This window comes from Homo sapiens, chromosome 16 (genome assembly GCF_000001405.40).
Source record: "Homo sapiens chromosome 16, GRCh38.p14 Primary Assembly".
Lineage (NCBI taxonomy): Eukaryota > Metazoa > Chordata > Mammalia > Primates > Hominidae > Homo > Homo sapiens.
Window position 1 is genome coordinate 13,527,515 of NC_000016.10, and position 25,352 is coordinate 13,552,866.

The 25,352-nt window shown below is 41.8% G+C and overlaps 1 protein-coding gene across 2 annotated transcripts in view; it reads left to right on the forward strand.

Annotated features, from left to right (window-relative positions):
• The window catches only part of SHISA9 (shisa family member 9), a 661,420-nt gene that overhangs the window by 625,917 nt on the left and 10,151 nt on the right, over positions 1-25,352 (forward strand). The window contains exon 6 of one of the 2 annotated variants that reach the window (XR_007064905.1): positions 24,879-25,036. The exons of the other annotated variant lie outside the window; for it this stretch is intronic. The gene's annotated coding sequence lies outside the window, so the exon portion shown is untranslated. The remainder of the gene's footprint in view (positions 1-24,878; positions 25,037-25,352) is intronic. 2 annotated transcript variants of the gene reach the window in all.

Consider the following 25,352-nt stretch of genomic DNA (forward strand, 5'->3'; position numbering starts at 1 on the left):
TGACTAGTCTAGTTAAATATAAGGTAGTGGCGTCAGCAGTCAGTATTTTTCTTGTATGTGTAGGTAGTAAAGGAAGCTAGTCTGCAGTGAGTAAGAAGAATGAAGCAAACACACTCAGAGAAGTTCATATAACAGATAAAGCCCACACGGAATTCAAGTTCCTAGTTATCCCTGTTTGCCCCGACACTCAGATCTGCTCTTGGGCTCGGTGAGAAACCTCAGTATCTTATAATAAATTCCCCCTTTTTGCTTAAACAAGCCTGAGCGGGTTTCTGTTACTGGCAACCAAAGGAACTTACATTAATATGACCATATGTAGGATATGGGGAAGGAGTTCAAAAAAGTATAAGACTTTGGCAGATGCTCTATAGGAATGGAATTTACAATTCAGGAAACGTGATAGAAAAATCTAAGATTTGGAGTCAGACACAGGGCAGCTCCAAACTCTCACTCAATAGACTGTGTCATCTTGGATAGTTATTTTACCTCTGCGAACCACAGGCTTTTCATTTGCATAAAGGATACCAATATTTCATGTGGCTGTTGGGAAAATTAAACACTAGTATACTGCCTGGCACTTCGGGGGGCCTCAATTAATCAGAATTCCTTTCCCTGTCTTAAAACTAGATCCCCGGGAACAAAGAGAAGAGGCTTCTGAAAGCTTGCCCAGCAAGATCATAGACCCGAGCATGAATGGGTTTTATGTGATCATAATCCCCTCACCTTTCCCCTTGCTCAGGAGAAGAGGAGACATAACATCATATAACCTAAAGAGTCCATTTCCACACTTCTGACTCCCTGCAACCCAAAGAGCATCAGAGCAGCCAATTAAGATGTTTTATTTTAAAAGTTCTCAGTGAAGGAAAGTGCAAAGAAGAGGTCACAGAACTTGGAGTTCAAAAAAAAAAATAAGAAAAAAAGTCCACTGGAGCATGTACTCTGAACGTGTCTTATTCTAAAACAAAAATTGTTTTAAAAACTGGGTTACTGAATTGAAATTCATCAAGATCCTCATTAAAAGTATGACCTTTCCTCATATGAATCCCAAAAAGAAAGAAAGGCATTTTTTTGGAGGTCATAGAAAAAAAACTGGGGCTTTGGAGCCAGGCAGATTCTGGGTTTAAATTTTGGCTTTGCCTCTTCGTACATAAATGACCTGCAGCAAGCCATGTCCCCTGTTCCAGCACCAGTTAATCTCCCCACGGTAACATAGACCTAAAATCCCTAATTAATTGAGTTGATAAAGGAATTACATAAGATTCTTGTAATGTGCCTACGTAGTGTCTAGCACTTAGCATATGCTCAATAAAAGTGGTCACAGCTCCTTTCCATACCCCATAAAGTTTTAGTATGGCCCTAAAGAACATGTACGTGATGATCAGACACAGTCAGGGGCAAGTTCCACTTCTGATTTGATGACCCTGTGAAACTTACTTAACTTTTTAGACCTCCAGTTTTGTAAATAAAATATAAAATCCTAAGCTTCCCAGCTGACTGAACAGACTCCCTCTTGGCCAAGGGGACCCCAGAGAAAACCTGAAAAACTGAGTTCCCACCATGACAGAATAGGAGGTCAAACATGCCTCATGACAGCCCCTCTGTTTTGCAGTTTGGACACAATTAACCAGAGTGAATGTTCAAATAGCAATCGTAAGACTGATAGAATGGATTATTTGTGGCAATGGATATCAAATTATAAACAGGACCTAAATCCATGCCAGGCAAAAGTTAACTCACACACCCCAAAAGGTCAATCTGGATTGTACTGTGTCTTGATCTTGCAACTCAACCCTGGCATAGCATGCCACGATGATTAGCTGACTTTATCTCAACTTAAACATTCCTTTCTGCTGACTCCAAGTTTTTAGACAAAGCTTTGTTCCTTTAATCATTTGCAAATTAAAGGACCTCTAAACCCACCTATGACCTGTAAATCTCCACTTCAAGATATCTCACCATTCTGGGGCCAATGCATAATCTCCATGCCTTGATTTATGACTTTGCTTGTAACTTCTGCTTCCCTCAAATGTATAACACAAAGTTACAGTCCAACTGCCTTGGGACCACTTACTCAAGGCTACTTTGGTTTGTGTTTTCCCTGGGCTGCAGTCACGCATATTGGCTCAGAATAAACCTCCTTGCAATATGTGACAGAGTTTGTTTTTTTCCACCAACAGTTTCCTTCTTTGTTAAACAGAAAAAACAACACCAACCTATAGGGCATCCTGTGTTTGCCCACCCATATCCACTTCCCTTTCTTTCTTCCTCATAGAAGTATGATGTTCTTCAGGCAGTGCCGTTCCCTGGTAGGCAGATGCTTGTGAGAGGCCAATCCCACCCACAGCTCCAGGTAACCTGATTGATCTGGAGGAAATCCTATTCTCTTGATTGGTTCAGGAATGGGCATGTGACATAACTGCAGCCAATGAGACAAGAGCAGAAGCTTACTACAGACTTTTGGGAGTCTAGTGCTTGGCCGCCTGGGTTTAAATATCACCTTCTAACTGGGTGCAGTGGCTCACACCTGTAATCCCCACACTTTGGGAGGCCAAGGTGGGTGGACCACTTGAGGTCAGGAGTTCGAGGCCAGCCTGGCCAACATGGTGAAATCTCGTCTGTACTAAAAATACAAAAAAATTAGCCAGGCCTGGTGGTGAACACATGTAGTCCCAGCTACTCAGGAGGCTGAAGCAGGAGAATCACCTGAACCCGGGAGGCAGAGGTTGCAGTGAGCTGAGATCGTGGCACTGCACTCCCGCCTGGGTGACAGAGTGAGACTCCGTCTCAAAAAATAAATAAAAATAAATAAATAAATATCACCTACCAGCTCTGTGTCCTTAGGGAGATTACTTGATCTCCCTGAACTTCATTTTCCCCATATGTAAGATTGAGATGATTATAACTTCTGTTTTATGGGGTTATTGTGTGGATTAAATTTAAATATGGTAAGCACTTAAGACTGTGTCTGACACATAGGAAGTGTTAGCTGTTGCTTTTATAGTGGCTGCTGTTGTTTCTATCCTTGTTGGTAGCAATGACAATAAGTATGATGGCATCCGTGATAAGAGCTAATCATTTTTTTGTGCCGTTACTGGGATACTTGGGTTGACTGTGACAACACCACCTACCTATAGTGTACCCTAGGCACCTTGTTTTTGCCCCCCCAGAACCACTTCCCTTTTTCTTCCTTCCTTACAGAAGAAGCATGATTTCCTTCAGGCAGCACCATTCCCAGGTCGGCAGATGCTTGCGGGAGGCCAACCTGACCTGTAGCTCCAAGGGTGACCTGATTGGTCTGGAGAAAATCCCATTCCCTCCATTGGTTCAGGAATGGTCATGTGACACAACTTTAGCCAATGAGACAAGAACAGGCGCTTGCTAGAGACTTCTGGGAAAAGTTTTCTCAAGGAATCTCTTCCATTTCTGAATGTTGTCTGATCTCCACATGATGCCTGGGACTATTTCACCCACTTCATGACCAGCCTAGGGGTAAAGCCAACAGTGAGTAAAGCAGAGAAGAAAGATAAAAAGGAGCTTCCTGGAGTCTTGTATTATCATTGATGCCCTGAATCAACCTCCATTGAAACTTGCCTTACCTGTGAGTTTCCTGTTGAAGGCAGTAATGAATAACCTCTCATTTAGTCAGCTGGGGTTGCAATTTCAATTATTGTACCCAAAAGTATCCTAACTAATGAGAGTTAATTAAGTTACCACATGTAAATTGCTTGTCCCAGTCAAACCTGGGACCCCAGTAAGGGCACCGAAAATGATTAGCTCTTAACACAAATGCCATCACACCAGCAATAATAAAAACAACAGCAGCCACAATAAAAGTAACAGCTAACACTTCCTATGTGCCAGACACATATCTTAAGTGCTTACCATATTTAAATTATTTAATTTTCACAATAACTCCCCCAATCTTACAGATGGGGAAAACTCAGTTCAGAGAGGTCGAGTAATCTTTCTGAGGTCACACAGCTGGTAGGTGATGTTTAAACCCAGGCAGCCAAGTACTAGAGTCCATGATACGAAAAAGAAGAAGATCACAAAGAAATTTGATTTGACCTTCTGGTTTGGCCTCCCTTTCTCCCTCTAGCTGCTAAACAAAGTCAAGGCAAATTAGCAGGGTCCCTGAGGAGCGATCACCATGAGGTGGAGAGGGGACTGATTTTGAAGTCAGAGATGTATGAGCAATCTCAAGTAAGATGCGTAATCCCACCGGGACTGAATTGCTTACCTGTGAAATGGTGGGGCGGTGTGGGGGGCAGGGAATACTCACCTCTTAAAATTATTATAAGGATTTAGAACAATTCATGTTCAGTGTGTGGCACAGGGCCTAAATGAAAGCTATTAAAGATGAATTATCACAGTACTCGAGCACTTTCATACCTTTCTCCCATTTACCAGCTGCCTTCTTTGTCTCATTTAGTGATGACACGAAGAAGAAGAAATACTTAAGGAGATTGAATGCCAACCAAATCGGCAGTTAACACTTGAATTTAAATCCCCTTTTCTGCCTCCCCTCTAAGGAGTCTGATGATAACTCCCTTCCAGGGTTTCATTTCATAACCTGGGCCAATTTGACTCATTATCTCCCTGTCAGCACGAAGAGAATGAAAACCAGTTGTCATTACCAACTTATCCCTGCTCTGAATAGAATATGGGATGGAGGAGAAGTGAATGCCCTGTATAGGTTGTTAACCCCCAAGAACAAATTCAAGGATTCTGGGACAAGCCCAGCCCTAGATCAGGCTGCAAATGTCCAGAGGCTTCTGGGTAACCTCAGGTGATAACCTTGGAAGGAGGGGGATACAGGGATAAGAGCAGAGGAAACACAGCTGGAGGAAGTAAACTTTGGCAAAAATGAATGGAGCATGGTGTTGAGAGCCACAAATCACATCAAACCAGAGCAGAGGTTCCAGACTCAGACTGACCTGGGCTTGAATCCAAGCTGCTGCCCTGTGGCCGTGGGCAGGTTGATCTCACTAAGCCTAAGTTTTCTTGCCAGTATGATGGAATAATACTATGTGCGTGTGTGTATGTGTGTGTGTGTGTGTGTGTGTGTGTGAACGCTAACTAAAATATGACTATCCTCTGAGAGCAGTTATTGTTTTTACCTCATGTGCCAAAAGTTGGGAAAGTGTCCCCCTTGCTTCACATGGCTGCCTTCTGACAATTTCTTTTCCTTCCTGCTTCCAACATTTCAGTTTCTTTCAAGGCCATGCCAAACCTTCACCATCCACAGATCCTGCTTTCAAAGTCTTCTGCTGATTTCCCAGACACTCACTCTTTCATTCCCTGAAGATTCCAGCACCTGGATCACTGTCTTCCTGTCCCCTGCTATTCCTGTCTTCCATCCTCGTGAGTCTAATATCCACATAAATTATCCATCCAATCCCCTCGCTTCTCAGGTCTTTTGCCCCCTACCTCCAAAAGTCTGGTTTTCTGCCCCACCTCAGCCCCTTACTTACCTCATTACTCTGTAGGACTTTGAGTGCATCAGATCCAAGATCTCAAACCTAAACATTTCATTCTCCAATTACATCCTCTTATTTTTCCAGCTCACCCTTGTGAGGCCCCTTCATCTGATCATTCTTCTCCACCAGTGAGACATCTAATCCATGGTCCCCCATGACTACCTCTTTACTCATCATCCCTTGTCTGCTCTTACTTTCTTCCCCACACAGTTTAGATTCAGAGTCAAGCACTGTATCTTACTTGGGGACACCTTTAACGCTCTTATCTCCTCTCGTTTTGGTTCCCCAGGCAAGCCACGTCTAGATTAAACCCAGTACTTCACCTATTCTGTGCCTGAAGCCTAGGCAGCTCAGAATGATTGGAGAAAACTTACACCAAGCTTACTGGCCTCTCCTTACCCTTATGACCACAGTCCTGCTGAAAAGTTCTGCTGTTTTCCCTAGAAAGTTTGCCTTTCTATTTTTCCAAGATGACTACTTGGTGTCTTCTCTCCCAACCTCCAATGCTTCTCCAATCTTAGAAAATTGATGACCATCCTCTCGTATAAGGACCTCTTCATCACCCCACCCCCACCACCAAATACACAAGCCTCTGTGGGGACTAATTCTGACCTTCCCTGTTGCATTGGCTGGACTGTCTATCTAAAGCCAACCCCTCCACTTATGCAAAGCCCCTTCTTCTTCAAGGATATCACTGCTTCAATTGTCCCCCATCTCTTCTGCATCAATTTCCCCCTCTTTGTGGATTATTTCTATAAGTCTATATGCATGCTACCATAACTCTCAATTTTTTTTTTTTTTTTTTTTGAGACAGAGTCTCGCTGTATCGCCTAGGCTGGAGTGCAGTGGCGCGATCTCGGCTCACTGCAAACTCCTCCTCCCAGGTTCACACCATTCTCCTGCCTCAGCCTCCTGAGTAGCTGGGACTACAGGCGCCTGCCACTGCGCCCAGCTAATTTTTTGTATTTTTAGTAGAGACAGGGTTTCACCGTGTTAGCCAGGCTGATCTCCATCTCCTGACCTCGTGATCCGCCCGCCTCAGCCTCCCAAAGTGTTGGGATTATAGGCGTGAGCCACCGCGCCTGGCCTGGTAACTCATTTTTAAGAACACTTCCCTTAATACCACATCTCCCTCCAACCACCACCCCATTTCTTTTTACCATTTACAACACAATGCCCCACATTCAAGAGTATTCTATCTCCATATGTCTCTTATCCACACCATTTCACTTTTTTTTTTTTTTTTTTGTGACAGAGTTTTGCTCTATTGCCTGAGCTGGAGTGCAGTGGTGCGATCTCAGCTCACTGCAACATTTACCTCCTGGGCTTAAGTGATTCTCATGTCTCAGCCTCCCAAGTAGCTGGGACTATAGGTGTATGCCACCATACCTGGCTAATTTTTGTATTTTTAGTAGAGATGGAGTTTCACCATGTTGGCCAGGCTGCTCTCAAACTCCTGACCTCAGGTGATCCGCCTGCCTTGGCCTCCCAAAGTGCTGGGATTACAGGTGTGAGTCACCATGCCAGGCCCACAGAATATTGACTTATCAAGATGGCTAATAACTTCCAAGTTGCCAAAATTAATTATTAATTTTCAACCCTCTTTTTACAAGAATTGTCAGCAATCTTTGACACATTTGACCACATCTCCCTGTGTGAAAACACTGTGTCCCTGACTTTAAAGATGCCACACTCTTCTTCAGGGGAAACTCTCCTTCAGTCTTTTTTGCTGGATCTTCCTCATATATCAACCTCTAAGTGCTGAAATGTTCCAAGGTGTAGTCGTTAGCCTGATCTGTCTTCTCCCCTCTTCTCTTTCCCTTTCCTTTCTCCTCTCCTCTTATCTTTGCCTTCTAAAATCTTTCCCTAGATGACCACATCTATTCTTATTCTTTTTAATATCACCTATATGTTGATGATCCCAGAAATAACATTGCTCGCCAACCTTTCCACAATATTCTGCTTCCCGGCTGGGCACAGTGGCTCACGTTTGTAATCCCAGCACCTTCAGAGGCTGAGGCAGGTGGATCACTTGAGGTCAGGACTTTGAGATCAGCCTGACCAACATGGTAAAACCCCCCTCTCTACTGAAAATACAAAAATTAGCTCAATATGGTGCTGTGCGCCTGTAATCCCAGCTACTCTGGAGGATGAGGCAGGAGAATTGGTTGAACCCAGGAGGCAGAGGTTGCAGTGAGCTTAGATTGTGCCACTGCACTCCAGCCTGGGTAACAGAGTGAGACTCCATCTCAAAAAATAAATAAATAAAATTCTGCTTCCAACTCAACTCTCCAGTTCCTAAGTCAAAATCTTCATGTAGACATCTAATGAGCATCTTAAATTTCTTAGGTCAAAAAATAGAAATCTTGATGTCTCTGAGAGAACCCACTCCATGTGCAAAATATATGCTCAATCTGGCCACTTATTACTCCCTTCATTATAACTCTTATAGCCTAAGCCAGGGACCCACAAACTATGCTCCTTGAGCCCAAGCCAGCCAGCAACCTGTTCTTGGAAAACAGTCACACTCGTTCGTTTACTTATTCTCTACAGCTGTGTTTATGCTATAATGGCAGGATTGAGTGGTTGTGACAGAAACCATTTGGCTCACAAAGTCTAAAATTCTTACTGTTTGGCTCCTTGCAAAAAAAGTTTGCTGCCCCCTGGTCTAGGCCCCTGTTGTTTCATGCCCATGAGGCTTTCCTGGCCTCCTTCTTGGTAGTCTTTCTTCCATAATTTTCCTTCTGCATCCAGAAGCCAGAATAATGTTCTTAGGACACAAATCATATCTTACAACTCTCTTAATCAAATAGCTCTAATTGTTCCATCATATTTGCAATAAAATGCCCAGTCTGGTTCACGGTCTGCAAGACCTAGAATAATCTGGATCTGCTAACTACAGCTTCACTTCCTATAACTTTTCTTCTTACTCAGGCACTGAGCCTTTGTACTGTTCGTCCAATAGACCAAGAACTTCCATCCTTCAGGGACTTTGCATATTTTTTTCTTTTTTTTTTTTTTTGAAACGAAGTCTCACCCTGTCACCTAGGCTGGAGTTCAATGGCACGGTCTCGGCTCACCGCAACCTCCGCTTCCCAGGTTTGAGCAATTCTCCTGCCTCAGCCTCCCAAGTAGCTGGTACTACAGGCACGTGCCACCACCCCCAGCTAATTTTTGTATTTTTAGTAGAGATGGGGTTTCACTATGTTGGCCAGGCTGGTCTCAAATTCCTGACCTCGTGATCCGTCCGTGTCGGACTCCCAAAGTGCTGGGATTACAGGCATGAGCCACCGTACCTGGCCTGCGTTTGTTTTTCTATCTGCCTAAATAACTTTTCCTCTACATATCCCTGTGGCTACTTCTTTTCAGTATTTAAATCTCTGCTGCAGCATCCTCTCCTCCCCAGTGAGAATGGCATTTCTCCTTTGACAGGAATTTTGTCTCTCTCATTGGCTGCCATGTCTATAGTACCCAGAACATTGTAGACTCTCAGTATATAATTGTGGAGTATAAGAACAAACGAATAAGCCCTAACATAGAGATAAGCATAAAGAACTGTGAACACACAAAGCAAGGGCACCCAGCACTTCTCGGCATTGCGGAATGGTTAAAAAGACTAGCAAAGAAGAAGACGCTGGAAGGGGAAGAAGGTGTTTCAGAAAGAAGAACAAAAATGTACAAAGACAGTAGCCATGAGAGAAGCTTGCACCATGTGCATGTACAAGGCACATAGAATATACCATAGATATAGCTACAGATATAGATCAGGGTGTGGGGGTGGAAATAGGCATAGTCAGATAATAAAAGATTTTAACTGTGAAACAGTTACATCTTTTCTGGGGTCGTTGAGAAGTTATTAATGGCTAAACAGAATAGTGGCATGATCAGAAATGCTGGGATCCCACACTAATGTTGTCCTACTACTCAAAATTCCACAGTCTTTCTCCACTACTAGTTTCTCTGGACTTTCAGCATCAAGGATCTTAATTTGGTGTCTGGTTCTTGAGTCAAGCTTAACATGTTTCATAACTCTGACATACCAGCTCCACTTCTGGAATCCCATAATAAGGTAATGACCTAAAATCCTGGAAAACATACATGCACAAAAATGTTTAACATAGTATAATTTATACTAGAAAAAAAAATTTAAGGGCCAGGCCTGGTGGCTCATGCCTGTAATCCTAGCACTTTGGGAGGCCTACGGGGGCAAATCACTTGAGGTCAGGAGTTGAAGACCAGCCTGGCCCACATGGTGAAACCCCATCTCTATTAAAAATACAAAAATTTACCGGGCATGGTGGCAGTTGCCTGTAATCCCAGCTACTCAGAAGGCTGAGGCAGAAGAATCACTTAAACTTGGGAGGTGGAGGTTGCAGTGAGCCGAGATCACACCATTGCACTCCAGCCTAGGTGACAAGAATGAAACTTCACCTCAAAAAAAAAAAGAAAGAAAGAAAAAATTTTAAGAAGAAAAAATTAGAATAAATGGAATATTTTATAGGGGTGTAAGGATTTGGAAAATTATGATGTAACTACTTATTGTTGTATTATGCAGTCATTAACTGATGTATTCCTAGAGGAATGGAAGAAAGATTCGTGGTTACCAGGCAGTGAGGATGAAGATGAGAGTTAATCACAAAGGTTTACAAAGGAATTTTTGGCGGCCGTGGGACAATTGTATCTTGATTATGGTACACGTTTGTCAAAATTCATAAAACTATGCATCAAAAAGGATGCATTGTACCATATGTAAATTATATCTCAGAAACCTCAAGAAACTTTAAACCTATGTTTCTGATTATTTTGAATGCCATGGGGAAGTTTTAAAATTATGCAACTTGAAACAATATTAAGTAACATAAAAATTATGCAGAGGAAAAACGCTAGAAGAAACTATGTCAAAATATTGTACCTATAGTAAATTATCTTTTGGACAGAGGAGAAAAATGGTGTTTTCTACTTTTTTCATCTTTTTTGTATTTAATTTTGATGATGATAAAATAAGTATATTTTGTTTTAAAAATATGTTAGACTGTTGAAGTTTCTCTAAACTTTCTTTCAATTGTTTTTGAGTTTAGGGTTCTTCAAACACCACAAGCTACTTTGCTTGTTATCTGCGATCTACTAGAAAGAGTAGTGAAAACCAAGGACAGCTCCTGAATTTACTGGGGTGGCTTTAGCATGGGCTTGGAATGGGACTAAAAAGCTGTCCCCTCTCATGATCCCATGGCCTCAAAGCAATAGCTCAGGTCAGGAAACAGGTTTTCTCTCAAATTGCTCTGTAATTGCGTGTCCTCTGCTGGCAAAATACACTTTCTAGTCCCTGCCTCCTTTCTCGGGCTTTTATAAACACAAGACATACAGAATACTTGGTAACAGTACAAGAAAAATGGTATTATTATCTAAACACTTGAAGTAGACAATCTCTTCAAAGCCATTTCATAAATCACATCTTAGAGCTTGTCATAAAATACATACAGCAAAGAAAAATAACAATTGTGTCCTTTGGAAAATGGATTTTAAACTTTCAACTAAGTTCATCAGAACCTTTTTTCCAAAGGCAATGTATGTTTTTGCTTCCTAGTCTAAATGGTTATGATGGACTGAAGTGTTGGTGAGGAGGTAACATTCTAATGAGGAAAAGCAGAGAAACCAAGAAACAAGATGAAAAAGCTATAATAAATTATGGATTTTGATAAATTGCCCCACACTGTAGCATTTCAATTACAGAAACACATAGTTTACACAAGTAATTACTGAAGAAATTACCACAGAAGCACATCCATTCATTGAATTATGAGGCATCAATTCTCTCCCCTTGATTGCATCTTCAGTTCCAAGAATGGCAATCACAGCTCCACACAAAACTTTAATAACACAATCTTTTTTGGATTAAAAAAACACTATTGGATGAGAAATATGTAAAGAGATGATAAGAAAAGGATGTAGATTCATGTTGAGAAACAGAATGCCTTCAATGAGTTAATTGCAAAGCCAGAACTTTGACGATTGGAAGGTGATCACTGGAGAAGCCTGTTCTGAACATGAGTCCCAATGTTTTCTGAGGGTCTTTGGCATCATGATGAGGGTCAGAAGAGATTATCTAGTGAGGATAAGGTCCAGCAACAAATGCATTATTTTTCTATTTTTTTGAGATAACAGTCTCACTCTGGCACCCAGGCTGGAGTGCAGTGGCATGATCACAGCTCACTGTAGCCTTGACCTCCCAAGCTCAAGAGATCCTCTTACCTCAGCCTCCCAAGTAGCTGGGACCACAGGTGTGTACCACCACACCTGGCTAAATTTTACATATATATATATATAAAGACAGGATCTTTATATATATATAAAGATATATATATATAAAGACAGGATCTCACTGTGTTGTCCAAGCTGGTCTTGAACTCCTGGCCTCAAGCAAGCCTCCTGCTTTGGCCCTCCCAAAGTTCTGGGATTACAGGTGTCAACCACTATGCTTGGCCCTAACCAATGCATTCTGTTGACATTAGCATGTCATGTGATAAGTCTCAGCAGAAATTTAAGGGCTTTTAATCTAATACTTTTTGCTATTATTTTGAATAAAATCATGATTTGGTTTGATTTGAATTTCCAACTTTTATTTTAGGTTCAGAGGGTACATGTGCAATCTACATGTGTAAATCACATATCACAGGGGTTTGATGAACAGATTATTTTGTCACCCAGGTAATAAGCATGGAACCCAATAGATGGTTTTTGAATCCTCATCCTCCTCCCACCTTCCACCCTCAAGATGGCCCTGATGTCTATCATTCCCTTCTTTGTGTCCATGTGTACTCAGTGTTTAGGCACTTATAAATGAGAACACGCCATGTTTGGTTTTCTGTTCTTGTGTTAATTTGCTCAAGATAATGGCCACCAGCTTCATCCATGCTGCTGCAAAGAACATGATCCTACTCTTTTTTATGGCTGTATAGTATTCCATGGTGTATAAGTACCATATTTTCTTTATCCAGTCCACTGTTGATGGACATTTTAGGTGGATTCCATGTCTTTGCTATTGTGAATAGAATACTGTGATGAACATACACTTGCATATGTCTGCCTTCATGACAAAGACTCCAAAAGCAACAGTCTTACTTTCAGTCCAGTGCTTAAATCCTTTCAACTCAGTGTCCAGTGTATATGTATACACAGATATATGCATGTGCATACATGCCCACACACACACACACACACACACACACACATAAACCTCCTATAGCAGATCATTCTTGGTGCTCCCTCATGTTCCCTCACTCTTATAACTTCAATGCAGACCAACCTAATTTGCAACTCCAAATTCAATGCCTGAGGACTTTCTTTGGCACCAAAGCACTTTGTTCACCGATTTGGCAGGCTAGAAGTGCAGCCCTCAGCCAAGGACTATCAGGAGTTGGTATATAAATACCCCAGCTCCCTTTCCCATCACAGGGATAGCTCCGAGGTTTAGGGCCTACACTGTTTCTCAGAAATTTTCCCAGTGGAATTAAGCTTCAGGTGCTCTCCATTGCAATGAGTTATAAAATATATACTTTATTTCTACCTCCTCTTTATTGTCTCATTCCCCATTCCCCTACTGATTTTTCCTGGGATCATCTCTAAAATACCTGACTTGAATCCTTATCTTAGGATTTTCTTCGGAAACCAAGTTTGGGGAACCCAAAGTAAGACATTCCTCATCCTTAAATTTAGGGTAATGATGCTCCCATAGTGAGCATTAAGTGAGAAAAATGCATGTAAAATGTCAATCACAGTGCCTGGTTCAAGTAGATGATCATTAATATTTATTATTATTACTGCTACCCCCATTTTTGTTAAAGTATATTTCATCACTATCTTCTGCTGTTACCAGCTTCTTGCCATCTCATTTGCTGTCTCTTTCCAAAGCTGTGGCTTTGATCCCCAACCACTAAAATGCAGGCTGACCAAAGGAGGACAGTAGCCCTGAAGGTATTCATTGGCATCAGTCACTTGTGGCTTCTAAACAGACCTACTACCCGGGTGTCGGGATTCCTCAGGAATCTTTGGGAAGCAAAATCAATGGAGAACTCAGTGGCGACAAGCTGTGTGTTATTTTTCTGTATTGTAACTGTGCATCTGTGTTTCCCCCTCCTGGCTGGAGCAGAAGCAGGAGCCACTTCGTGCTGTTGGGTGCAGGCTCTGGTGATGATGCTCAGAGAGTAAAGGTTATTGGTCCCAGACATGACAGTTTCCTCTCCAGGGGCCATAAACAGTAGTGGCTCCAGAATCCAAGCAAAAAGGTGAATGAGAAAAACAGAGTAATGTAGTACATGATGAGCTGGAGAATGGGAACCCAGCCTAAAGAATTTTAAATTAAGATATTTAAAAACTGTGTGAGAGCCAAGAAATCCATATATAGCCCCACAAAATGTGCACCCCCGCCTTTGCCTGAACCCAGCCTTAACAGTTTACAAAGTTTTGTTGCAGTCTACAAACCATTTACGAAGCATTTGGCCCTCTTTACAATCTTGTGTGGTCAGCCGGAATTTATTATCAGAATCTCCATTTTAGAGTGCAAGGAATTGAAGACCTCAACATTTAAATGACTCTTCTAAGAAAAGAGCACACAGTTAAAACTCATGAAATATCTGATTCTAAATACTGCGTTGTTTCTATGAACACACTCAGGGGTGGGGTCTTCGGGGACAGAATCCCTTTCACAAGGTTGTGGAGAGCTGAATCACCCATGAACTCAACTCTTGTTGAAAAGGGAGAGTCCTCAAAAGAGTGAGTATGATTCATGGGAACTCATCCATGTGAGCAGATCAGTCACTCAAAGAGGATAATAAACTCACAGAATAAAGGACAAGAGGATATTCGACGTGAGGTCAGGACTTTTCATTCATGGGGTATACTGGGTCGAATGCTGCCCCTCAAATTCATGTCCAGCCAAGACCTCAGAATGTGTCCTTATTTGAAAATAGGGTTTTTGCTAACATGATTAAGGTAAAGAGTGAGGTGAGATCTTATTGGATTTTGGACCCTAAACCCAGTGAATATCCTCATAAGAGACAGATAAAGACACACATGAAGAAGGCCATGTGAAGATGGGGGCAGAGGTTGGAGTGATGCTGCCATAAGCCAAGGGACACCTGGAACCACCAGAAGCTGGAGAAGGCAAGAATTCTGCCCTTGAGCCTTCAGAGGGAGCATGCCCCTGCTGACGCCTTGGTTTCTGACTTCTGGCCTCCAGAACCATGAGATAATGTATATCTATTGTCTTCAACCACTGAATTTGTGGTCATTTATCACAGCAGTCCCAGAAAGCTATAACATGAGATGATTGCCTAGGTGCAAGGGGATAAGGACTCACCATGCACCAGGCACTGAACTTTCACAACCATCCTAACATGGAATCATCAGGAAGCTCCTGTGGGACAGATAACATCGTGTTCATTGTATAGGTGAGGGAGCTAAGGTTCAGAGAGGGTAAGTGAGTCACTCAATATCACACAGCCCCCTAGAGGGCAGAGCAGAGATAGATCAAGCTCACACCTGTGTTTTCAATCAGCGCTGAGTTGAAGTGTGATTGTGGGACTCACAAAGAATAAGTATGCCCCCCCCTACTCTATGCTGAATGAGCTATCCTTTCTGCTCTGTTGCCTCACCCCTATTTCCCAGGGACAACAAAATGCACATGTGTTTCAATCCAGCCTCTTTGGACTACAAGTGGTGTAAGTTAACTCGCTTAAATCAAAATAAGCAACTGAACTCAAAAGGGAGATTTGCTGGATTTGTTGACTGATGAAATGAAAATTCAAGAGGTATTCCACCATCAGGGATGGAGGTTTTGGGGCTCGAGCAGCATCAACTGAGAGCGTTTCTGTCTCTTTCATCCCACAGGTTGGCTTTACTGACAGGCAGGTTCCAGTGGAATCAATGGCCGTGAACAGTATTGGGTTTACACACTACCAGCTTAGCAACTCCAATAGTGATTTTAACCTTAGTCTGTCTGATCCCAGAGCTTGCCTTTGCCATTTTCACTGCAGCATACTGATTTCCAACGTTTTCTCCCTTTATTCATTCCACAAATATTTTTTGAGCACCTACATTCTGCCAGGTGCTGGGCAAGATGCTGGAGATACAGCAGAGAACAAGACAGGTGAGGTCTCTGGCCTCCTTGAAAGCATTGTTATGCCTAAAGGTAGATGGGGTGTGGGATGCAGAGAAAAGAAGATAATTATATACAGTACAATGTGGTATAATGTTAGATGGTCATGATATAAACTGTAACAACAGAGGGGTGTGTTTATTTTCAATACAGTGGTCATGGTAGGGCTCTTGAAGAGGGGACATTGTATTTACACTTCAAGAGTAACTGACACATAGAAGACCTTGAACAAATATTTGAATGACTGCATTTAATTCAATTCTCTGCACAAAACTATGATGTCAGTTCATTATGATATCCATTTTATGGTCCAGTAAACTGAGGTCCAAGGAAGTTAAACAATCTGACCAAGACCACTCAGACGGCCAGCATAAAACTGGGATTTGACCCCAGAGTCCTTGATCTTGAGCACTGTGATTTTGTTACCTCCCAGGGCCATCACTCCCCACACTCCCAGTGCTGTTTCCACCAGTGATGCTCAAGTGTTCATGCACAGAGTCCGTGACACCAGGGCCGCAGAAGCCCAGGAGTACAGACAAACACCTCAGGCAAAGCTTGTACCAAAACTACTGCACACAACTCCTTGCCTCCCAAATGCTGCTGCAGAGCCCACAGATAATGCTCGCCTCTGAGTAGCATCGACCCTTCCTTCCCAAAGGCATCCATGGCGTCTACACCCCTGAAAATGCTCCCTGACAGTCACCTAGAAAGCCCTCCAGATTAAAGATGAAACATTATTCAAATATCTACCTCTTTTTCTGGGTAACTCTTGCTCAGAGAATTGCAGGGCTAGGCTTAAAATGTTCTGGCTCCTTGTGCAGCTGAACAAATAGAAACCCAGAAGGGGAAGTCACGTGCCTAAAATTTTACAGGGAGGAAGTAGCAACCCCATGGACATGAAAGTGTTAAGTGTAAAGGGTATGACATTTAGAGGGAGGCAGTCTCCATTGCAAATTCTGGCTTAACACTTAACACCTCTTTGAGTATCTGCTAAGTACTTACTACCTGACTAAGAATATTATCTTATTTAACTCAATCAATAGCATGAGGCAGTATTAAATATACATAATACTATATATCTTATCTATATATCTAGATATATTATATATAATATATGTATCTTTATCTATATATCTTATAGATAAGGAAACCTTAGCCTCAGAAGGGTAAAGTACCAGTTAATTCATGGTACAACCAGAATTTGAACCCCATTCTGACAGACTCCAAAGCTCTTGCTCTTAGTTTTTCGGTTTTTTGTTTTTTCGGGTTTTTTTTTTTCTTGTTTTTTTTTTTTTTTTTTCCCCGCTGGATGTTGTATTTCCACTTTGCACGGACATGACTCTTGAAGTTTTCAGGGAGATTGCACAGCTGAGAAGCCAGAAGCAACCTTGGCTGATAAATTACTATCCTGGCTGGGATTTCCCTCACCAATTGCTAAGCAAAAGGAACACATAAATTTTGGAGCAACCACCTTTTTAGGTGTGAGTTTGGAGCCTTGTAGAATAGAAGACTGGGCCAGGTGCAGTGTCTCACACCTGTAATCCCAGCACTTTGGGAGGCCGAGGTGGGCAGATCACTTGAGGTCAGGAGCTCGAGACCAGCCTGGCCAACATGGTGAAACCCTGTCTTTACTAAAAATACAAAAATTCGCTGGGCGTGGTGGGGCGAGCCTGTAATCCCAGCTACTCAGGAGGCTGAGGCAGGAGAATCACTTAAATGCAGGAGGTGGAGGTTGCAGTGTCCTGAGATCATGCCACTGCACTGCAGCCTGGGTGACAGAGTGAGACTCCGTCAAAAAAAAACAATAGAAGACTGATAGTGTCAACAGTTTAGCATTGATCTGGTGACATCATGATCATCATCCTTATTTTCCTCATCATCACAATAACATCAGAACCACTATTTGTTAAAGGCCTAGCAAATATCAAATCTTATGCCATGTGCCTTGCATGTACTTTCCAACTTCATCCTCACAATAATGCTGTAATACAGATGACACCTACCCAGTTTTTACCATTGAGAAAAGAAAGATCCAAAGAAGCCGAATAATTTGTCCAAGATCGCACACTGGTGAAGTGGTACAGCTAGAATTCTATTCAAGGTCTTTTTGAATCCACAGCACTGCCAGTTTCACCAAATGGTCTGATTGTTAAGAACCAGGATAAGTTTCCCTTTAAACAAGATCAAAAAAAGCAGACGGAAATGCCAGCATCCAATTAAATAAGAATCCTGCATGGATGATCAAGGAGAGATGAGTGGAGGGACACATATGTCTTTGAGCCAGTGAGCTAAAACAAGTGGGGGCTTCCTACAAGGGAGTCTATGGATTTGGCTGTTGCCCCTGGCAACAGACACAGGCAATTGGTTGAATAGCCCCTCCACCCCTGAGCATGGGAAAGGCTGGTCTTGGAAGCAGCCATTGTTTCAAACATTGCTTCTGCTTGAGGTCTTGCTGCTTGTGAAATAGTTCCCTCTCTCTTCCTGAACATTCCACCTGTTGCGTCCCCTGGCAGGAGCCAGCAGCTTAGCAAAGATGAATCTTCTCTCACGCCATGGCCTGTCACATGGACATCTGGAGTTCTGACCTGCTCAGGATCCTCTCCCTCTTCTTTTGTATCAGAACTCTCCATGATGGCACCACACCGGTCCCGATCCGCTTCTACTATCACACGGTGTAAAGTCTGGCCAATCAGAGCAGCTCATTCAATGGGCCACAATGATTGGTTCAGGGAGAAACATGTGACATAAGCTGGGCCAGTTAGATTCCTTCCTGGGACTTTTAATTTGGATTTGAGAGAGGGATGATTTCTTGCCAAACTGGTAGGACGTAAATTTGGGGCTGCCAGTGACCATCTTGCCTGTCGTGTGGATGGCACCTGAATTAACAATGTAGGAAGGGGGCCCAGAGAACACTAGGCTCACTAATTCAGCCCTCTTGCCTAGAGCCAGACTTGTCTTTGGAGATGTCTTTGTCCTATAAGAAAGGAAATCAGTAATCAGAAAAAGGAGTTAGAAATGTGCAACCCTGTCCAACTTTCTACAAAATTCCTCAGTGCTACAACTTTAGTCCAAGCAACCACCATCTCTTACCCAGAAAAGAAGATTATTGTTCTCCCTGCTTCTTCCCACCCTTCCATTTCATTTTCCTCAGCCTACAGAGTGACAATTTTTAAAAATGCAAATCAGTTTTGCATGTTAGTATCATCTTATTTCATACTGAAGAATTCCCATTAGCATTTCTTGGAAGGCAAGTGTAAGGGTGATGAATTCCCTCAGCTTGTGTTTGTCTGGGAAAGAATTTATCTCTCATATTTGAAGAAGAAAAGCTTTGCTGAGTGCAGTATTCTCATCAGTAGTAAGTCATTACCTATCAATAGTAACATTAAATGTATACAGACTAAATTCTCCAATTGAAAGACGTAAAGTAGCTAAATGGATAACAACGTGAATCAGATTATAAGATTTCCTGATGCCCTGAAGATTAGTAAAAGTCCTTTCTACTGCCTATGAAGCCCTACATCAGAGGTCTGCAAACTGACCTGTGGGCCAAATCCAGCCCAATTCCTGTTTTTGTAAAGACAGTTTTATTGGCACAAAACCATATTCACCCATTTTTACATGTTCATGGCTGCTTTCTCTGTCAATAGAAGATTTGAGTAGTTGAAAAAGAAACCATACGGTCTGTTAAGCCTAAAATATTTGCTATCAGGCCGTTTACTGGAAGAATTTGCTGACCCCTGTGGTATATCATCTGGCTCCTGTGTCTGGCTCATCCATGCAACTCTCCAATTTCCTGCTGTGCTACAGCCACACTGCCCTCCATAAAGCTCATCCTCACCCTGGGCCAACATTCATCTCTTCTATCTTTACATGGCTGACTCTTAACCACTGATATCTTACCTTGAATACTTCGGAGATATCATTATGTTGTTTTAATTTCTTCATAAAGCCTATTACTTTGGGAAATCATGCATTTATTGCTTTACTTAACTAATTCATCCAACAAATATTTATTGAATATCTACTATGTGCTCAGTAATTGGTGAATGCCAGTAATGGAAAAAAAAATGATTCTTGTCTTTTTAGAGCTCCCATTCTGCTTAGGGAAGATTGAAGATAAAGATGTAAGCACATTATCAGTGGGTTTTTTTCTAGTGAGAAAGGCTATATATTAGGGTTCTCTGGAGAAAACAGAACCAATAACTATATAGAGATTTGTAAGAAGAGATTTATCATGGGAATTAGCTCATGAGATTATGGAGGAAGGAAAAGAAGTCCCACAAGATGCTGTCTGCAAGCTGGAGAATAAGGAAAAATGGTGTTGTAATTTAGTTCAAGTCCAAAGGCCTGAGAACCAGGATCTCTGATATACAATGGCAGAAGATGTATATCCTAGCTCAAGAAGAGAGAGAGAGGGAGAGAATTTGCCATTTTTCTGCATTTTTGCTCTATTCAGGCCCTCAATGGTTTGGATCATGCTAACTCACATTGATAAGGGGGGATATTCTTTGCTTAGTCTACTGATTCAAATTCTAATCTCTTTTGGAAAAACTCTCACTGAAAATTTAAGGGAACACAAATAAATGGAAAGATATCCCATGTTCATGAATTGGAAGAATTAATATTATTAAAATGTTAATACTACCTAAAGTGATAAACAGATTTAGTGAATATTTATGAAAATATCAAAGACATTCTTCACAGAAATAGAAAAAAAACATAAAATTAGTATAGAACCACAAAAGACCCAGAATAGAGAAAACAATTTTGAGCTGAAAGGACAAAGCTGGTGGCATCACACTACCTGACTTCAAAATACATTACAAGTCTATAATATGCAAAATAGCATGATACTGGTATAAAAACAGAGACATAGACCAATAGAAGAGAATAGAGAACAAAGAAATAAATCCATGCACTTAAAGCCAGCCAATTTTTGACCAAGGCACCAAGAACACACATATGGGAAAGGACAGTCTCTTCAACAAATGATGCTTGAATAACTAAATATCCACATGGAGAATAAGACTGGACCTTATCTCTCACCATATAAAAAAGTCAACTCACAATGAATTAAAGATTTGCATGTGAGACTCAAAACAATAAAACTACTAAAAGAAAACATAGAAAACACTTTACAACGTTGGTCTGGGCCAGGATATTTTGGATAAGACCTAAAAAGCATAGGCAATGGAAGCAAAAACTGAATAAACAAAACTACATTAAATGAAACAACTTCTGTACAATGAAGGAAACAACAGAGTGAAGAGACAACCTACAGAATGGGAGAAAATATTTGCAAACTATGCATCTGACAAGAGGTTAATATCCAGAACATATAAGGAACTCAAACACCTCAATAGCAAAGTAAGTAAGTATTCTAATTAAAAAGGGGCAAAAGACCTGAACAGACATTTCTCAAAACAAGACAAACAAGTGGCTACAAATATACTTTTTTAGATGCTCAACATCATTAATTATCAGGGAAATGCAAATCAGAACCACAGTGAAGTATCACTTCACCCCAGTTAGAATAGCCATTATCAAAAAGACAAAAAATAACAAACACTGCCAGAGATGTGGAGAAAGGAGAACACATACCTTTTTGGTGGGAATGCAAATGAGTACAGCCAGCCATTATGGAAAACAGTATTAAGGTTTCTCAAAATATTAAAAGTAGAACTACCATATGATCCAGTAATCCCACAGCTGGGTATATATACAAAGAAAATAAAATGAAGGTATGAAAGATATAGCTGCACTCTCATGTTTATTGCAACACTTTACACAATAGCCAAGATATAGAATCAACCTGTATCCCACAGTGAATGAATGGATAAAGAACATATAGTACATTTAGGCAATAAAATACTATTTGGCCACATAAAAAAGAGAGAAAATTCCTGTTATTTGCAGCAATGTGGATGAATCTGGAGATCATTATGTTAAGTGAAATAAGCCAGGCACAGAAAGACGAATACCACACAATCTCTCTCATGTGTAGAATGTTAAAATGCTGATCTCATATAAGTAGAAAGTAAAATAATTGTTGCCAGAGACTGGGAGTGTAGGAGGTTAGGGAAATGGGGAGATGTAGGTCAGTGGGTACAAAGTTAGATAGGAGGAAAAAGTTCTGGTGTGCTATTGCACAGTAGGATGACTATGGTTAACAATATTTTATATAAGAAATGATAAATGTATTAGGTGATGGATATGGTAAATATGATTTATTCATTGCACAATGAATACGGGTATTGAAACAGCACACTGTACCCCATAAATGTGTACAATTATTATGTGTCAATTAAAAACAAACAAAAAATATATGCATCATGGTTTGTGCAAAGTTTAGAGTGTAAGTGTAAGATCTTTCAGAAAACTAATAGGTTGCTTTTATATTTAAGAAAAAAAAACTCTAATAGTAATAATTTTTTGCCAGCTATCTGCACACCCCTTAGGTCAGTCAAGGTGACACATAAAATTAACCATTATAGGTTATGAAGACAATAAAACAGAGTGATCTTTTAGGAAATGACTGTAGAAGTGGGGAGTATTTTAGATCGTGTATACAAGGAAGTGTTAATATTAGAGCTGAGGCCAGGTGTGGTGGCTCACACCTGTAATCTCAGCACTTTGGGCAGCCGAGGTGGGCAGATCACAAGGTCAGGAGTTCAAGACTAGCCTGGCCAACAAGGTGAAACCACATCTCTACAAAAATGCAAAAAATTAGCTGGGCATGGTCGTAAGCGCCTGTAATCCCAGCTACTTGGGAGGCTGAGGCAGGAGAATCGCTTGAACCCAGGAGGCAGAGGTTGCAGTGAGCCGAGATTGTGCCACTGCACTCCAGCGTGGGCAACAGAGTGAGACTGTGTCTCAAAAAAAAAAAAAATAAAGTATATATATTAGAGCTGAGAACTCAATGATGAGAAGGAGTGACCCCGGGAAGATCTAGAATATTTCAGGAAAAGGGAACTACAGCAAGTGCAAAGCCCCCGAGGCAGGAGAGAGGTTGGAACAGTGGAAAGAAAGCAGTGTGGCTGGACTAGATGGGATGAGGGATGAGGCATTCACATCCCCCTCTCTAGATTTTAAGCTCCGTGAAGACCTTGTTCATTTTGTTCACAGCCCTATCTCCAGCCCCTAGAAACTCTCCCATTCAGTTTTACTCATCCATGCAGAAAGAAAGTTAAACTAGATGATGCGTAAGTGCCTCGCCACCTCAAACCTTCTATAATTTGAACTTTCTAAAATAACAGAATTGAGTCCACTGACTTCCCTTTCCGGAACCAGCAAAATGTCCTCGTCATCATTTTAAAAACTGTCCAAGTGGCAACTCTTAACCATAGATCAGCAAACACACAGCTAAGCCGGGGATTTTTCCAGCACGTTTTCTTGGATGTGCAGTTTGTTGGAATGTAAATGAAGCAAGATTCTGTGGGTGAAAGTCTGGACCCTTCAACTCCAGGTCTTCCTGAGAAAGTCAGATACACAAGGAAGCTTTTAAAAATAGCTTCCCTACCACATTTTTAATGCATACTCAGTTTTTAAAATGTTAGTAAGTATTCACTGCGAATGGAGGAGGAACAAGTGACTAATAAAAGTTTTCCCTCTCAGTTTACATGTCTCTGTCCCTGCTTCTTTCCCAACTTGATTTGTGGGAAGAACACATTCTTCTTCAAGAAGTGATGGGCACAGGCCAGGTGCAGTGGCTCACACTTGTAATCCCAGCACTTTGGGAGGCCAACGTGGGCGGATCAAAAGGTCAGGCGTTCGAGACCAGCCTGGCCAACACAGTGAAACCGCATCTCTACTAAAAATACAAAAAATTAGCCGGGCATGTTGGTGGGTGCCTGTAATCCCAGCTACTTGGGAGGCTGAGGCAAGGAGAATCGCTTGAACCTGGGAGGCGGAGGTTGCAGTGAGCCGAGATCACGCCACTGCACTCCAGCCTGGGCGACAGTGAGAGACTCCATCTCGAAAAAAAAAAAAAGAAGTGATGGGCACAAAGATAAAAATCCACTGAAGATCTTTGCTCTTCTTTCTTACACACAGACACACACGTACACACATACACTCCTACAAACACACACAAATGTCCCAGATGCACAGCCATTGATGCTATTTACTAAAATACACATAAGCACCAACACAAACTTATATTCACAACCTTCAGCACATACACAAATATTCACATGCACACACACCTATAAGCACATATGTGGGTATTCGTATGCATCCCGACACACTTTGGATTTGTGTTTGTAAGTACATGAGTACATGAATGGGTTTGCCTATTCACATACATATATCTTACATGTAAGTTACAAAGTACATACATATGGGCTTGCATGTAAATCCTGAGATACACATACATGTAAAGACATAGGACACAAGCCCTTACAAACAGAAGCATATGTGACTGTGGGCACATGCACTGACATACATTCATGTACATAAGTACTTACAAACATACCACATGCATACAATCATTACTCCCCACACACAGCAGGCAGACACAATTGCTGTGCACAAACATAGACACAAAGGGGCTTCATACTGCTTTCCTGAGTGATCAGGTGAAAAAAAAGTACAATTGGTAGGCCGGGAGCGGTGGCTCATGCCTGTAATCCCAGCACTTTGGGAGGCCGAGGTGGGCAGATCACGAGGTCAGGAGTTCAAGACCAGCCTGGCCAGCATGGTGAAACCCCGTCTCTACTGAAAACGCAAAAACTAGCCAGGCAAGGTTGCAGGTGCCTGTAGTCCTAGCTACTGGGGACGCTGAGGCAGGAGAAATGCTTGAAGCTGGGAGGCGGAGGTTGCAGTGAGCTGAGATCTCACCACTGCACTCCAGCCTGGGTAACAGAACGAGACTCCATCTGAAAAGAAAAAAAAATACAATTGGTAAAGAGGTGGGGACGCATTTTGCTTCAGCTTTGTGTTTTTTCTGCTAGAAAATAGAAAATCAGTTGTAGTGGAATAAGTGAAGTAGTCAGAAAATAAGATGCAGGCTTCTCCAGAATGAGAGGTCTGTGTTCATCTCTGCAGAGAAACCAAGAGCGAGGAGCTCAGGCTCTGCAGGGAGCTGGATCTGCTCTCCTGAAATTCATGAAATCCTCACCAGAGGGAGTCTCCCCGGTGGTTCCCCATCATCCCACAAATTAATATTAACAACACCCTTCCATTTGTGCTTTCTTTTGACTTTGGAGGAAATGCATTCCTGTCTATGTTCCGTTTGTATTTTTAAGCTTCCACCGAGGTGGGAAGGGCAGGTGTCACGATGCCATTTCAGAGGCAGCAACCACCAAGACATGGCAGTGGTCTTCATGCACCTTCTATGGTATCGGGCTTTGTGGCAAGTGCTTTTGTTACCTTAGCTGATTTCATCCCTGCAACAACCCTGGAGGTAAATGTATTAATATCGCCATTTCGCAGTTGAGTAAATTGAGGATAAAAACAGCAACAACTTGCTCGAGGTCACAACGGATGACGCTGCTATTTAAAGCCAGGTTGGCTTTGAAAAGACCGGCCCAGGGGGTGGTGGAGCCTGGGGTGCTTTAGAATAATGAGATTTTTTTTAAAGCCTTATTTTTAAACAGTTTTTTTTTAAGTGAGAATAGCCAGACCCACTTCACAAGGTCAGGCTAGCTCTCTTCACTTCTAATAATTGGCCTCTGTCCCAAGGGAGCAATTCTCTGTGGGAAGCAGAAGTTACAAAAGCC